Source organism: Homo sapiens, chromosome 5 (genome assembly GCF_000001405.40).
Source record: "Homo sapiens chromosome 5, GRCh38.p14 Primary Assembly".
Classification (NCBI taxonomy): domain Eukaryota; kingdom Metazoa; phylum Chordata; class Mammalia; order Primates; family Hominidae; genus Homo; species Homo sapiens.
In genome coordinates, this window is record NC_000005.10 from 113,632,004 (window position 1) to 113,650,196 (window position 18,193).

Here is an 18,193-nt window from a genome sequence, read left to right on the forward strand (position 1 = left end):
TGAAGTGTTATGATGTCTGCATCTTATTTTTAAATGGTTAAAGCAAAGAAAGTAGAAAGAATATGGCAAAATGCAAATAATTTTTGAATCTAGGTAATGGATATGGGTGTTTGTTGTACTATTTTTTGTATTGTTTTTATGCTGGCCATAATTTTAAAAATTGGAGGTAAAAGAATACACTTAAATATATGAAACAATTGAAGAAGAAGTTACAAAAAGTCAAATGAGCAATGCTCAGACAACAGAAAAAAATAGAAAGGGAGCAGAGGTAATGTAAAAAAATGAGTAACAGGCCAGGCCTGGTGGCTCACGCCTGTAATCCCAGCACTTTGAGAGGCCGAGGTGGGCAGATTGCCTGAGGTCAGGAGTTCGTGACCAGCCTGGCCAACATCGTGAAATCCCATCTCTACTAAAAATAGAAAAATTAGCTGGGTGTGGTGGTGCCCACCTGTAATCCCAGCTACTCGGGAGGCTGAGTCAGGAGAATCGCTTGAACTGGGGAGACGGAGGTTGCAGTGAGCCAAGATTGTGCCACTGCACTCCAGCCTGGACGAAAAGGTGAGACTTCATCTAAAAAAAAAAAAAAAAACAAGAAACAAATGAATAAAAACGGAATCAGCAGTAGCACAAAATTTTAAAATCAACACAGCTGAAAACAGAGACCATGACATGAAATAGAATTGAAAAAATCATAGAGGATAAAGTAAAAAATAAAAAGATGAGAGCAATTAGAGAAATGATAGATACTGCTACAAAGATTGGTTACAAAGATCTAACATACATGATTAGTATTCCTAAAGAGCATAAAATATATTCTGGGGCTTCCTACCTAATTGAATTCTTTCAGGGCTCACCATGTTTAAATCTACAGTTAATATCTCAAGGTATTCAAATTTATGTAATAGACAGGGGAGCTAAGGTTTCTATGGAAAATAAAAAAAAATTAAAAAGTGAAAAACTTTAAGGAAGGCAAAATGGAGATTGTGGCAGAGGTATTTTAAAGCAAGTAGTTTTGACAGTAAAATGACCAAAAAAGAAAGTTTTAATAATTATGAAAATATGGTACTATTCAATGCTATCATGCTTTGAGGAAATGTCTGATTCCTGGTTTGGACATAAAGAAAGAGGAAGAAAGGAAATATTCTGAAGTCACTTGCTCACATGCCAGTTTCTCCAACTCTGATTATTGTTTCCCTATAGTTAATGTTAGATCTTTGTAGCATTAGTTCTTGCAAGCTAAACAATTTTTATACTAAGTAGGAAAAGGAACTGGTGAAAAAAGGCAACTTCTGTTTTCTGTATTCTGACAGGATGAAGAATTGGCTGGAGGTAAAAATCTCATTGAAAATCTTTGTCAGTGGGTGAGTTCTCTTTTTTTACTTCTAGGATTTCTGTATCCTCTTAGGATACAGAAAACAAAATTACCTACATTTCACAAAACTGTCCTGATCACACTTAGGAGTTTAGTAGGAAAAAGAAAATGGAAAGAAAAGGCTGAAAAACTATATTATCTTCACATGTACCTTTCTTACTTCTTTCTCAAGTTACCAGCTATTTCTTACTTCTTACACAGGTTACCAGCTCTTCCTTACCATTATTCCTACAGAAGTTCTGTAGACCAAATACAGGGTTCTAACTTACGGTTCTTCTATTTATTTATCTGTGTGACTTGGGAAAGTTTTGAAATATGTTCTAGTTTTGCCTTTGCAAAATGCAGATAATATGCACTTCATAAGGTTGTCGTGAGGACTAAACAAGATATCATGGAAAATATCTGGTTCAGAGTCTGGGGCAGAGAATGCCCTCAGTAATATCCTGATGTTTTTTATTCAATGATAAGAGCTCATAAGCAAGGAAATAGGATATTCCAAAAAGAATACCTCCTTGTTTGAAGGATTTAATCCATGACATCTGTTACATTACTCTATAATCTTAAAATTAGCACAGCATAGAATTCTGTGGGACATTTTGATGAATGAAAATAATTAGAAATTTTATTTTTGGTTCAAATAATGGTCCTTGAGCATATGAAAGTCTCCCTAATTCATTGGCAATGGGTTTTTAAACTCCATTGGATCTACGGCTGTGAACCTACTGTACACATCCTCTGGGCATTCTTAACAGGTTTTAACTTGGTGATAATTAATAAATTAATAATTGGTGCTAAGAGAATTTAATGTGTCATGAAAGGAGAAAAATAACAAGTAAGAAATATGTGTTTCAATAAGTGACATGCTGTAGAACAAAAGAAAAGCTTGAAGGCTGACTTGACCTTGGCTAACACACTAGAACTTTAGATAGATTACCCCCACCCCCTCAAGAGTGCCCTTCTTTTAAACACCGATGGTTGATGCTATGAACGTTATGCTTTATTATATAGTGATCTGGGAAACTCTTGAATTATTAATAATTAGTGTTTAAATGTGAAATTCACACAGAATTATACCTGCAGCCTTTAAAGGAAAAGTGATGCGCATATTGCCTTTGAAAAACTTGTAGTAGAAAGTCATATTCAATATTCCAGTAATTACTCTCGTTTAGTAAGAAAGATCTCTGTGTACAATGTCCTCATCATTCTCAATAAGTTACCTAATGTTCAATACAGTTGTAGTCACCCAATAATAAAAGCTAAGAATCCATACAGTGCTTTTCAAAGGGCTCCTGCAAGTTGTTTTTCATTAAAAGTATTGTTATTATTATTTAATGTCCAGAGATTGGAAATCTTTATCAGAGATTATAGGTTGTCATGTGCTTCAGACTAGAGTCATGGCCTCAGAATAGGGCTGTCCAGTGAGAATAGCACCTCTAGCATCATTACTTCCCTTGGAAAATGGAGAAAGAAGAAAGAAAGTTATATATGAAGAGAATATTGTTTTTCAGCCTTTTCTTTCCTTTTTTTTCCCTACTAAGCTCCTAAGTGTGATCAGAAATGTTTTGTGAAATTTAGGTAATTTTTGTTTTTTGTATCCTACGAGGATGAAAAGTTGGTTTGAGGTAAAAATCTTATTGAAAATCTTTGTCAGTGGGTGATTTCTCTTTCTATTTCTATGATTTTTAATGTATACAGATTACCAGCTGTGTCTACTCTCTCACCCACTGACTGATCATGTGAAAGGTTTGAGGTCCACATTGTCTACTCAGCATCTCAAAGCAGGTGTCTTAAAGGAAACTTAAATTGCCATGTCTAAAACAGAATCGAGCTCATTGTTTGGACCTCCCACCCCCATGTGTTCTCCTTTTGTGTTTCTCAACTCAGCAAATGGCACCACTAATCGCTCAGGTGACTAAGCCAGGAACTGGAGGATTATTCTTACTCTGAATGTATCCTTGTACTTCAAGTCACACTATCACAACTGACTAGTTTACTTCTTAATATCTTTCAAATTGATCTGTTTCTCTTCATCTTAACTGCCACTGCCTTAAACAAGTCATCAGCGTATGTCACCTGGATGACTGCAGTAGCCATTTAATTGGTCTTTGTATTTCCATTCTCCCTTTCCAATCAATTCTCTGTTAACTCTAGCGACAGTTTAAAACCAAATTGGATCACATCAACAGACCTAGTTAAAATCATTGCTGTTGGGATAAAGCCTGTTTGCGTTGGCCCTGCTTATTCCTCCAGGTTGATCTGCCATCTCCTCTTCATTGGCCACATATGTCTTCTTAGAATTCTTCAGCTGTAATGTGCCGTCTCACAACAGGGCTCACTTCAGTTCACTTCTATTCATCTTTCAGACCTCAGAGCAAAAGTTACCCCGGGAAGCTTTCTTAGACACTTCGGGCTCAGTGAAATACTCATTCTGTGCTTTTATTGCACTGGGTTCTTTTTCCTTCAACATTTATCACACATATACGTTGTGTGATCATTTGTTCAATATCTGTGCAGGAACCCTGTCTATTTGGCGCACCATTGTAGCTTGGTGTCTGTCATATTGTAGCTTCTCCCGCCCCTTGTTAATACTCATTCCCTAGTTTAATTTTATGGCTGTTTTCTATGTTTCATCTTCAGGGTTGGGTTGGGAAGGAAGTCAGAGCCTATTATAATTAGCCATCTTGTCAGGAACAGAGAATTCCCTATTTCCCTTTTATGTAATTTTCATAGTTAAAATTGTAATTACTTCAGTATGTTCCACTGTGATGGTTAATATTAGGTGTCAACTTGACTGGATTGAGGGATGCCTAGATGCCTGATACAGGATTGTTTTTGGGTGTGTCTGTAAGGGTGTTGCCAGAGGAGAGTGATATGTGAGTCAGCGGACTGGGAGAGGAAGACCTGCCCTCAATGTGGGTGGGCACCATCCAATCGGCTGCCAGTGCCGCTAGAACAAAGCAGGCAGAAGGTGGTTAAGTTTGGTTGCTGAAGCTTCTGGCTCTTTTTCTTCTTCCTGTGTCGGATGCTTGCTTCCGCTTCTCTTGCCCCTGTACATCAGACCCCAGGTTCTTTTTGCTTTGGACCCTGGGACTTTCACCAGCAGCTTCCCAGGGGCTCTTGGGCCTTCAGCTGCAGACTGAAGCCTGCATTGTTAGCTTTGCTGTTTTTTAGGCTTTTGGACTTAGACTGAGCCACTACTGGCTTCTCTTGTCCCAGTTTGCAGACGGCCTTTCATTGGACTTTGCCTTATAATTGTGTGACCCAGTTCTCTTTAATAAACTCGCTTTTATTTATACATATATCCTATTGGTTCTGTCCCTCTGGAGCACCCTAATACATCCACTTTATTAATGTGCCACAATGTGAGGTATTTCCTAAGGCAGGGAAAATGAAACAGTAGTATTTAGGATCATACACACGTTTTAACAATATAAAAAGCAATGAAATGGCTACCATAAAAGTCAGGATAGGTATTACTTCTGTGGGAGGGAAGAGATTGTAATTAGTAAGTAACATGTCAGGAGCATCTGAAGTGTGACAAACTTTTTGTTTCTTGACATGAATGGTGATTAGGATGGGCCACATAATTTGTGGGGCCTGTGTGAAATAAAAATGTAGGGCCCCTGGCTTAAAAATATTTAAAAATCTCAACACAGAGACAGCAGAGGAGTAAACCAAGCATGAGACCCTTCTAAGTGTGGGTTCCTGTGTGACTGCATGCCCATGAAGTCAGCCCTGATGGTGATTGTATTAGTATTCACTCTAAAATACTTTGTTCAGCTAGATACTTATATTTTATGCATTTTCTCTGTGTTTGTTGTATTTTACAACAAAAAATATTAGAAATAATTGAATAAAAAGAAATATTGAATAAAAAGAATGAACTAGAACTCTAAATGATTACCATGAGGTGTTCTTAATGACTAGGAGGAGAAAAAAAGGATAGAAATATGAACAAATAAGGCCAGGCGTGGTGGCTCATGCATGTAATCCCAGCACTTTGGGAGGTCCAGGTGGGTGGATCACGAGGTCAGGAGTTCAAGGCCAGTCTGGCCAAGATGGTGAAACCCCGTCTCTACTAAAAATACAAAAAAATTAGCTGGGCTTGGTGGTGAGTGCCTGTAATCCCAGCTACTCAGGAGGCTGGGGCAGAGAATTGCTTGAACCCCAGAAGTGGAGGTTGCAGTGAGCCAAGATTGTGCCACTGCCCTCCAGCTTGGGAGACAGAGTGAGACTCCATCTCAAAAAAAAAATATATATATAAACAAATAATAAAGAAATATGGGGAGTAGGAACAGTCTTAACATCTGTCGAATAGAGGACTCTAGAGGAGAGGAAAAAATAAGCAAAGAAGTATCAATATTTTAAGAAATAATAATAGAGAAATTTCCAGAATAAGAGGAAGTAGAAGCAATCTATAGATTACAAAACAGTATAGATAAAAATAAACTTACACTTAGATATACTGCAATAAAATGTAGAAACAACTAAGAACCAAAGAGAATTCTAAAAGCTTTTGAGGGAAGGAACAGATCACCAATAAAGGAGCAAGAATAAAATTAATGTCAAACTTCTCTTTAATGATATGAGATGCAAGATCACAATGAAGTAGCATCTTCAAAGTGTTAGAGAAAAAAATCCTTTGAACTTAAAATAAACCAGTAGTCTTCTAACTTTTTGATCTAAGAACTCCTTTACACTCATTGAGGACCTTAAAGAGATTTGGTTTATGTGTATTATGTCTATCAGTATTTAAAGTATTACAGATTAAAACTGAGAAAACAAAAGATAATGTTATTATTTCATATTACTTCATTTAAAAATTACTAATTATATTTTAAGACAAATAATATACTTTTATGAAAAATAACTATATATTTCAAAACAAAACACAATTAGTGAGAAGACTGTTGTCGTCACTATCTAACCTGACTCAGAACTTGATCTCTGGGAAAAGATCTATCCCCAAGGCATTTGTCGAGAGCAATCTATGGAAATTCTTTAATATTTCAGCTGCCTGAAGCTGGGCTACCAGTTGGGGCAAACAAGCCTGGCCAGATATGTAAGAGGAAAATCTGGGAAATGAGAGGTGCATAAGAGACTTTGAAAAGTTTTGACATATTCTTTAGAATCTAGAAGGCCATGTGGATGTGCAGGGCTTTGTAAATACCCAGGAAACACCAGAGCAACAGAGAGGGCCTCAGTTTGGTTGACCTTGAGGCACTGTATAAGCAGGAAGTGAAGACTAAGGCAGAGTTGTAACTTCCTAAGTGTTGAATGCATACCCCAACACACACCCAGAGTCCCTAGACAAATCTAATTGCTTCTTAAAATGCTTCTGAGAAGGGGAGAACACAATTTTAGGATAAACAAGATAACTTACATCTAGAAAATGAGTGGTCTTTTGGTGAGCAAGAGAGAATATCTGAACATAGTCAAATGTCTCTCTCTTCTCTATAAATGCTGTACAAGTGATGACTTCATTGCAGTTTACCTCTTCTCTGCCTGTACACTCTCTGGGGTAATTATAAAGGCTTCTGAAGTAAGAATGTGGATAATGAGAAGACCCCAGGTTATCTCATAAAGCATACTCTAATGTTGGACTTCATTTTCACTAAAGTTAAAATCAGTAAACAAAAGCAAGCAAATGAAATAAACCATCTAATCACCTTTAAAGCATAAAAATGGACTCCAGGGTGCAGTAAAATCTAGGACAACAGTGTTTTAGGATATAATATTAAGAAAAGTAAATAATCATGCTGAAAGCACAATGTAAATAAAACCTGTTTCGAAGAAAAAGGCTAAGACTAAATAGAAAATAAAAACTCAGGCAGTCTGGGGAACACAAGAAATATACCATTAAGCTGAGCGAGTTATGAATAAGGAGAAATTCAAAATCTGCTTGGGAAGCTTTTTCAATTTAGGACTGATAAAACTAAGCCCTGCCATTTAAGGGTTAATCCTTAGAAAAAAACAAACCTTTATCAATATAGCTGTTTTGCTCTGTCAATTCTCTTTCCAAGGGTGGCACTGAGAGTGTGAGTGGTGTGAAAAGAGGTCACGGGTATCTCCCAATATGAGTTGGCTGTGTTCCAACCCAAATCTCATCTTGAATTGTAATCCCCATAATCCCCATGTATCATGGGATGGACCTGGTGGGATGTAATTGAATCATGGGGTGGTTCCTCCATGCTGTTCTCATGATAGTGAATGAGTTCTCATGAGATTTGATGGTTTTATAAGTGTCTGGCATTTCCTCTGCTGGTTCTCGTTCTCTTTCCTGTGAAAAGGTGCTTTCTGCCATTTTTGTAAGTTTCCTGAGGCCTCCCCAGCAATGCGGAACTGTGAGTCAATTAAACCTCTTTTCTTTATAAATTACCCAGTCTCAGGTATTTCTTCACAGCAGTGTGAAAATGGACTAATACACTCCCTAAATTAGTAATGTAAGTTTGTCATGTTTTTATGGGGCCTACTGTGCTTTTGATCATTTTTAATCCTATTATGAATAGGACTGGGGGAGGAAGCCCTATAGAAGGAAGAGTGGATTCATATTATAATTTTTTCATCCTGTTGCCTAATCTTAGACTTGTCCTATTTGTGAAGCATTACCATTTTTGGAGTTTAGAAAATAATCGAGGTAAATCCCTTAAGTTCACTTCCTGCTGGTTAGGTGTAGGAACCCATGTATGCCTCCCCTTGCTCAAGTAGGAGTTAAGTATATTTGGGCCTGATCCACTCTTATGAACTGAGCACCCAGAAGCAGATGAAGCAATAAACAGATAAAAAACCAAATTAACATCCCCAGGTAACACCACTATCAAGTACAGAAAAATGGTTTATAACTGGTTTAGTGAAAGTAGTTATTACTATTTTTCAAATTCAACTAAGCACCAACATCATACCAGACACTGATCTAGGTGCTTGCACATATATTATTTCATTACATTCTTAGTGTTTTTATCCCCTCAAAGTTCCAATGGGAAATTAATTGATAGTGTAAACAATTTGTGGCTAATATTGCTGCCAAATGCTTAGAGAAAATTCAGGCTTTACTGAATGGTTTATTTCAAGATTGAGCTGAACAAATCTCAAATGGTTTTCTTTTCCAATTTAGATTTTTTGTTTGTTTGTTTTTGTTTTGTCTCTTTCCTTCGATCTCCCACAAAAGGTCTCACATCTGAGAATTTGTCATCCCAAGCACTGGAAAAATGCAGATACTTTTGAAAAGGACAAATTCTGCAAAGACACCAGGACTCATCTACCCTTGTCAAAAAGTCTTTTTAATACATTGATTCAGCTAAAAAGTTTGCAACTGTTAACTCCTCTTTGAAATTTACAAGCTGCTTTAAAATCCCTAAGAAAAAACAGCTGGGTGTGTGGATGCATATAATAAGATTTTATGACATCCCCAAAGTGAAATTCTAAGTCACCCATCCAGATAAGATGTTAACAGAGGGGCCAAGGTCAAGATCAGGCATATGAATCCAGATGACTGGACCATAACATATGTTTGTAGACCCATCCCAACTCCAGACAGAAAGTTTTTCTAACAGCTGCCAAGTGAGATGACTTACTGCTTCAGTTTTTAACCCTTACTTCAGATGATTATACAAAAAGGCATGTATGAGGCATTATTGTGATGGTTAATTTTAGGTGTGAAGTTGATTTAAGTGTGACTGGATTAAGGAATACCTAGAGAACTTGTAAAGCATTATTTTTGGGTGTGTCTGTGATTGTATTTCCAGAGGAGACTGGTGTGTGAGTTTGATTGGATTAAGTGGGGAAGGTCTACTCTTAATGTAGACCAAGATAGAACAAAAACAGAGGAAAAGCAATTGGTCTCTCTTCTGGAGCTGGGATACACATTTCTTATTCTGCCTTGGGGTGTCAGAACTCCAGGCTGTCTGGCCTTTGCAGTCCAGGACTTGGGTAGCCTCCTGGATACCCAGGCATTTGGATTTGGACTGAGCCATGCTACCAGCATCTCAGAGTCTCTTGCTTGCAGACAGCTGTCATGGGACTTTTCAGCCTCCATAATTGTAGGAGCCAATTCCCCTAATAAATACCTGCTCACCTCTGTCTCTCTCCTTCTTCAATTGGTTCTGTCTCTCTAAAGAACCCTAAGACAAAAAATTGGTATGGAGAAGTGGGGCTGTTGCTATAACAAATACCTAAAAATATATAATTAACTTTGGAACTGTGTAATGAGTAGAGGCTGGAAGAATTTGGAGGAGCAGGCTAGAAAAAAACCTAGATTGTCATGAATGAAGTGTTAGTGTTCAGAGCAATTCTGGTGAGAGATTAGAAGACCCCAGAACTAAAGACAGTCTAAATTTTCTTAGGAATCACTCATGTGGTCCTGGTCAGAATGTTGGTAGAAATATAGACAGTAAAGCTCATTCTGATGAGGTCTTAGACAAAAATGAGAAACAAGGTATTGGAAACTGGAGTCAAGGCCATCCTTGTAATATAGTTGCAAATAACTTGGCTGAATTGTGTCCATGCCTTTAGGGCTTTATGGAATGCAGACCTTAAGAGCAATGAACTAGGATATCTGGCAGAAGAAATATCTAAACAGCAAAGCATTCAGGCTGTTGTGTGGCTACTTTTAACCACACACAGATGTGAGAGGACATAAATAACTTAAAGATGGAATTTATAATTAGAAAAGAAGCAGATCAGAAAAATATGGAAAATTTACAGCCTGGCCAGGTAAAGAGTAAAAAAAGCATGGTTAGGAGAGAATACTAAGGGTGTGGCCAAGCAAACATTTGCTAAAGAGGTTAGCACAGACAGAAGGAAGCCAGGTGTCATTCAGCAAGACAATGGGAGAAACAACCCAAAGTTATTTCAGAGATCTTTGAGGCTGCTCCTCCCATCACAGGCCCAGAGCTCTAGGAGGACAAGAAGATTTCAAGGAATGGGCCTGGAGCATCCATGAGCTCACTGCCCAGGGCCTCCTTGGGACTGTGATTCTGCATTTCAGCACAGCACCCTTCAGCCACCCCAGCCATGACTCAAGAGGGCCCAGGTGTGGCTCAGGCTGCCACTCTGGATGGCACAAGTGGTGAGTCTTGGTGGCATCCATGTGGCGTTAAATCTGAAAGGTCTTAGGATGTAAGAGACATAAGGGGCTGGCTACCTCCACCCAGATTATAAAAGATGTCACAGATAGTGTGGGGGTCCATGCAGAAACTTGCCCAGGGATGGAGCTGCCACAAAGCATCCCTAATAGGGTAATGCCTAGTGAAGCCTTGGGAATGGGACTGCCACTGAGACCTCAGAGCTCTAGGGCCACCAGTGTCCAACTCCAGCCTGGGACAGCCACAGGCACAAGACTCCAACCTTAGAGAGCTCAAGTGTGGACTGAGACCACCAAAGCCATAGGAGCAGGGTTGCCCAGGCTGCCCAAGGCTTTGGGAGCCCAGCTACTCCCCAGGATGCCTAGGATGCAGAATGTGCAATCGAAGGAGATTATTCTGGAGCTTTAAAACTTAATGTTGATTTTCTTTTTGGGTTTTGGACTCATTTGGGACCTATTACTTCTGTCATCTTGCATTTTTCTCCCTTTTGGAATGGGAATGTCTATCCTATGCTTATCCTATTCTTGTATTTTGGAAGTAGATGACTTGTTTTGATTTCATAGATGAAGGAAATTTGCTTCAGTATGAATCATGCCTTGAGTCTCACCCCTATCTGATTTAGATGAGACTTTAGACTTTTGAGCTGACGCTGAAACAAGAATTTTGGAATGATTGTGATGGAATGAATGTATTTTGTATGTGAGAAGGACACAACTTTTTTTTTGTCAGGGGGTGGGGGGCAGGGGTGGATTGTTATGGTTTAAATGTTTCCTCCAAACCGTTTGAAATGTGATTGCAATTGTGACAGTATTAAGACTGGGACCTTTAAGAGGTGATCAGGTCACCTAATGAACCAAAGCCTTCATGAATGGATTAATGCCATTGTTGTAGGAGTAGGTTAGTTATTGTGGAGGTTTGGACCCCTTTTTCTCTTGTTCTCATGTGCTCACTTGCCATTCTACTGCCCCTATCAGATGACTCTCGGCAGATGACAGTGCCATGCTCTTGGACTTCCCAGTCTTCAGAACTACAAGCCAAAGAAATTTCTATTCATTACAAATTATCCAGTGGCATTCTGTGATAGCAGCAGAAAACAGACTAAGACAGTGATACTTCAAAGACAGGGTCAGGTTCAAAACCTGAGGGCATTTGTGGAATCCAGTGTGAGGACAGGAGTAAAAGGGACAACAAGAGATTCTCTCCCTTAAACATTAGGACCCTTCACTTCCCATCCTCAGTCAGCACTGAAGGCAGGGATTGGGAGGCCCTTGCTCCCCTCCCTCCCTACTTCATATGATATAATTTCAGCTGGTTCTGAATGTTTGATGAATGTTGTCAGTGATACCATCTGACTGTCAGGATGTTTTCTTGGGGGGCAAAACGTCCTTTGAATTCAGCTGACATCAATGGGATAACTGACAGCTGGGGGGAAACAGGAAGCACTCGTTGCAGAGATTGATGGGTGGCAGCACAGGCACCGATAGGTGCTTTAGCAGGACAGGATGAAGGCCTTGGGGTCCACTGCTGCCTCCTCTGCAGGATGAGAACACTGGTTCCCACTACGTGCAATTGAGAAGCACAACTCCAAGGCAGAGGAAGAGGATTTATCACTGGTGAAAGTGTGCCTCATAGGATTGGTACTCTAAAACAAAAATGGGATTCTCAGCAGTACATAGGCAAGTATGGGAGCATGGGACTGAGGAACTTTTTATTTTGAGAGCAAGAACACAGTTTTGGATGTGTGTATGTGTCTTGTTTTTTACCTGTTTGAAACAGAGTCTTGCTCTGTCACACAGGCTGGAGTTCAGTGGCACCATCATGGCTTGCTGCAGCCTTGACCTCCTGGGCTCAAACAATCCTCCCACTTCGGCCTCCTGAGTAGCTGGGACTATAGGCATGTGCCACCATGCCTTCCTAATTATTTATTTATTTATTTATTTTGGTAGAGATGACGGCTTACTATTTTGCCCAGGCTGGCCTCAAGTGATCCTCCTGCCTTGGCCTCCCAAAGTGCTGGGATTATAGGCATGAGCCACTGCAGTTGGCTTATATGTGTTTTACCATGGTAAAATATATATAGCATAACAATTTCCACCTCAGAAATTTTTAAGTGTACACTTCAGTAGTATTAAGCACATTTACATTCTTGTGCAACCATTACGACTACACATCTTCAGAACATTTTTATCATTTTGAACTCCATACTCATTAAGCAATAACTCCCCACTGTTTCCTCTCCTCAGTAATATATAATAACAAGTATTTTTCTTTGTCTTTATGAATTTGACTACTCCAAATATGTCATATAAGTGGAATCGTGCAATATTTGTCCTTTTTTTTAAATTTGAGACAGGGTCTCCTGTTGCCCAGGCTGGAGGTCAGTGGCATGATCTTGGCTTACTACAGCCTCGAACTCCTGAGCTCAGGTGATTCTGCCACCTCAGCCTTGCGAGTAGCTGGTTACTACAGGCACGTGCCAGCACACCCCACTAATTTGTTGTATTTTTAGTAGAGACGAGGTTTTGCCACGTTTCTCAGGCTGGTCTCCAACCTTGGGCTGAAGCCATCCACCCACCTTTGTCTCCCAAAGTGGTGGGATTATAGGCATGAACCACTGTGCTTGGCCAATATTTGTCCTTTTATGTCTGGCTTATTTCACTTAACGTAATGTCTTCGAGGTTCATCCATGTCGCCACATGTATCAGAATTTTCTTCCTTTCTAAGGTTGAATAATATTCCATTGTATGTATGCACCACATTTTGTTCATCTATTAATTCACTGATACACATTTTGGTTGTTTCCACCTTTTGGCTATTGTGAATAACAACACTGCTATGAAGATGGGTTTGCAAATACCTGTTTGAGAGCCTTGTGTTTTTGTCTTAAAAAATTAGCTGCTATCTACAGTTTGTTTAGGGTTAAAACAGTATTTACTTTTAATAGGTTACTGTTTTCATCCTTGAGTATTGTACCAGCATGAGAGAAAGGAAGATCTTTTCAAACGTTTCACTAGAAAAAGTGGACATGACCTGGCAGCCTGAAGCATAGCATCTGTAACTTAATGCTAGTTAAAAAAAAAATCTTCTAATGGAAAAAAATCTTTCTTAGATTATTATGCTGCCAAACTTTAGAAAGTGTTGGTTGGTTTGAGTTTCTAAATCCTCACTAATTTCTTGACTTTACTTTCTGGTGTTTCAGGAGACAGCCAGAGTTCCTGTGCCCAGGTATAAGTGCCCAGCAGTTCTTGCTTTGGGCCTGTCTGCAACCTTTGTTAGAAAGTAAGAACTCTGCTTGTTTTATTTAACCATACTTTGCAGAGAGGAGAATTGAGGTGGCAGTGATGGAAGGAAACAATTACAGTGACTTTTGTACGTGGTTAGAAGAGTGAAGCTGAAACTTAGGAAAGTGCTAATTTTGAGTGAAAGCCCGGCAGGGAAGTGGAAGTGAGAAAGCTGCATCTACCAGTTCTCCCTGTGGAGTATTTTCTTTAGGCTACAAAGCTAACGTGATGGAGAGCTCCCTGTGAATTTAGGGATTTCTGTACATTTTTAAACTGGAGTAACTAGTTCCTTTTCTTTTTGGTACAATGTATTCATTTCACTATTTTAAAGGGAGTTAAAGTTTTGGGCATTCACTTCTGGCTTGCTATTGTTGATATGGAGAGAAACTGTCGAGATAGTTTCTTGCCCATGAAAATCCACGCCAATCGAATACACTGTAAAGTAGGCCATGAGAATCACAGAAATCATGGGAAAAACATCTTAGAAATAAAAAGCTGTCTAGCTGAGTGCAGTGGCTCATGCCTGTAATCACAGCTCTTTGGGAGGCTGAGGCAGGAGGATGGCTTCAGCCCAGGAGATCAAGACCAACCTGGGAAACATGGTGAGACTCTGTCTCTACAGAAAAATAAGAAATTAGCCAGGTGTGGTGGTCCATGCCTGTAGTCCCAGCTACTTGGGAGGCTGAAGTGGAAGGATATTTTGAGCCCCCAAATTCAAGGTGGCTGTGCCTGTATTAGGGTTCTCTAGAGGGACAGAACTAATGGAATAGATACATATATAAAGGGGAGTTTATTAATTATTAACTCGCACGATCACAAGTTCTCACAATAGGCTATCTGCAGGCTGAGGAGCAAAGAGAGCCAGTTCAATTTCCCAAACTGAAGAACTTGGAGTCCGATGTTTGAGGGCAGGAAGCATCCAGGACGGGAGAAAGATGTAGGCTGGGAGGTTAGGCCGGTCTCTCTTTTCACATTTTTCTGCCTGCTTATATTCTAGCTGTGCTGACAACTGATTAGATTTTGCCCAACCAGATTGAGGGTGGGTCTGCCTTTCCCAGCCTACTGACTCAAATGTTAATCTCCTTTGGCAACACCCTCCTAGACACACCCAGGATCAATACTTTGTATCCTTCAATCCAATCAAGTTGACATTCAGTATTAACTATCACAGTGCCACTGCACCCTGCACTCTGGGCAAGCTATTGAGACCCTTCCTGTTTCAAAAAAAGAAAAGTGGCAACGGGACACAGCTGGACAGAGAATGACTTTGACGAGCTGACAGAAGCAGGCTTCAGAAGGTCGGTAATAACAATCTTCTCTGAGCTAAAGGAGCATGTTCTAACGCATCGCAAGGAAGCTAACACCTTGAGAAAAGGTTAGATGAATGGCTAACTAGAATAAATAACCTGATGGAACTGAAAACCATGGCATGAAAACTTTGTGATGCATGCACAAGCTTCAATAGCTGATTCGATCAAGTGGAAGAAAGGATGTCAGTGATTGAAGATCAAATTAATGAAATAAAGTGAGAAGACAAGACTAGAGAAAAAAGAGTAAAAAGAAACGAACAAAGCCTCCAATAAATATGGGACTATGTGAAAAGACCAAATCTACCTTTGACTGGTGTACCTGAAAGTGACGGGGAGAATGGAACCAAGTTGGAAAACACTCGTCAGGATATTATCCAGGGGAAATTCCCCAACCTAGCAAGGCAGGCCCACATTCAAATTCAGGAAATACAGAGAACACCTCAAAGATACTCCCCGAGAAGAGCAACTGCAAGACACATAACTGTCAGATTCACCAAGGTTGAAATGAAGGAAAAAGTGTTAAGGGAAGCCAGAGAGAAAGGTCGGGTAACCCACAAAGGGAAGCCCATCAGACTAACAGTGGATCTCTCGGCAGAACCCCTGCAAGCCAGAAGAGAGTGGGGGCCAATAGTCAACATTCTTAAAGAAAAGTTTCAGCCCAGAATTTCCTATCCAGCCAAACTAATTTTCGTAAGCGAAGGAGAAATAAAATCCTTTACAGACAAGCAAATGCTGAGAGATTTTGTCACTGCCAGGCCTGCCTTACAAGAACTACTGAAGGAAGCACTAAATATGGAAAGGAAAAACCGGTACCAGCACTACAAAAACATGCCAAATGGTAAAGGCCATCGACGCTGTGAAGAAACTGGATCAATTAATGGGCAAAATAACTAGCTAACATCATAATGACAGGATCAAATTCACACAAAACAATATTAACCTTAAATGTAAATGGGCTAAATGCCCCAATTAAAAGACACAGACAGGCAAATTGGATAAAGAGTCAAGACCCATTAGCGCGCTGTATTCAGGAGACCCATCTCATGTACAGAGACACACATAGGCTCAAAATAAAGGGATGGAGGAAGATCTACCAAGCCAATGAAAAAAGCGGGGGTTTCAATCCTAGTCTCTGATTAAACAGACTTTAAACCAACAAACATCAAAAGAGACAAAGAAGGCAATTATGTAATGGTAAAGGGATCAATTCAACAAGAAGAGCTAACTATCCTAAATATATATGCAAAGCAAGTCCTTAGGGACCTACAAAGAGACTTAGACTCTCACACAATAATAATGGGAGACTTTAACACACCACTGTAAATATTACACAGATCAATGAGACAGAAGGTTAACAAGGATATCCAGAACTTGAACTCAGCTCTGCACCCAGCCAACCTAATAGACATCTGCAGAACTCTCTACCCCAAATCAACAGAATATACATTCTTCTCAGCACCACATCGCACTTATTCTAAAATTGACCACGTAATTGGAAGTAAAGCACTCCTCAGCAAATGTAAAAGAACAGAAATCACAACAAAGTGTGTCTCAGACCACAGTGCAATCAAATTAAAACTCAGGGTTAAGAAACTCACTCAAAACCACACAACTACATGGAAACAGAACAACTTGATCCTGAATGACTACTGGACAATTAATGAAATAAAGGCAGAAATAAAGATGTTCTTTGAAACCAATGAGAACAATGACACAATGTACTGGAATCTCTGGGACACATTTAAAGCAGTATGTAGAGGGAAATTTGTAGCACTAAATGCCCACAAGAGAAAGCAGAAAAGATCTAAAATTGACACCCTAACATCACCATTAAAAGAACTAGAGAAGCAAGAGCAAACAAATTCAAAAGCTAGCAGAAGCCAAGAAATAACTAAGATCAGAGCAGAACTGAAGGAGATAGAGACACAAAAAACCCTTCAAAAAACCAATGAATCCAGGAGCTGGTTTTTTGAAAGGATCAACAAAATAGATAGACTGCTAGCAAGACTAATAAAGAAAAGAGAGAAGAAACAAATAGATGCAATAAAAAATGACAAAGGGGATATCACCACCGATCCCACAGGAATACAAACTACCATCAGAGAATACTATAAACACCTGTATGCAAATAAACTAGAAAATCTAGAAGAAATGGATAAATTCCTGGACAAATACACCCTCCCAAGACTAAACCAGGAAGAAGCTGAATCTCTGAATAGACCAATAATAGGTTCTGAAATTGAGGCAATAATTAATAGCCTACCAACCAAAAAAAGTCCAGGACCAGACGGATTCACAGCCAAATTCTACCAGAGGTATAACAAAGAGGAGCTGGTACCATTCTTTCTGAAACTATTCCAATCCATAGTAAAAGAGGGAATCCTCCCTAACTCATTTTATGAGGCCAGCATCAGCCTGATACTAAAGTCTGGCAGAGACACAACAAAAAAAGAGAATTTTAGACCAATATCCCTGATGAACATTGATGCGAAAATCCTCAATAAAGTACTGGCAAATCAAATCCAGCAGCACATCAAAAAGCTTATCCACCATGATCAAGTGGGCTTCATCCCTGGGATGGAAGGCTGGTTCAGCATACACAAATCAATAAAGACAATCCATCACATAAACAGAACCAATGACAAAAGCCACATGATTATCTCAATAGATGCAGAAAAGGGCTTTGACAAAATTCAACAGCCCTTCATGCTAAAAACTCTCAATAAACTAGGTATTGATGGGATGTATCTCAAAATAAGAGCTATTTATGACAAACCCACAGCCAATATCATACTGAATGGGCAAAAACTGGAAGCATTCCCTTTGAAAACTGGCACAAGACAAGGATGCCCTCTCTCTCCGCTCCTATTCAACATAGTGTTGGAAGTTCTGGCCAGGGCAATCAGTTAAGAGAAAGAAATAAAGCGTATTCAATTAGGAAAAGAGGAAGTCAAATTGTCCCTGTTTGCAGATGACATGATTGTATATTTAGAAAACCCCATCATCTCAGCCCAAAATCTCCTTAAGCTGATAAGCAACTTCAGCAAAGTCTCAGGATACAAAATCAATGTGCAAAAAATCACAAGCATTCCTATACACCAATAACAGACAAACAGAGAGCCAAATCATGAGTGGACTCCCATTCAC

At 39.5% G+C, this 18,193-nt stretch overlaps 1 long non-coding RNA gene across 1 annotated transcript in view; it reads left to right on the plus strand.

Moving 5' to 3' along the window:
• Positions 1 to 1,302: 1,302 nt before the first annotated feature.
• The window catches only part of LOC107986441 (uncharacterized), a 62,022-nt gene continuing 45,131 nt past the window's right edge, over positions 1,303 to 18,193 (plus strand). The window contains exon 1 of the long non-coding RNA XR_001742841.1: positions 1,303 to 1,361. This is a non-coding gene — a long non-coding RNA (uncharacterized LOC107986441). The remainder of the gene's footprint in view (positions 1,362 to 18,193) is intronic.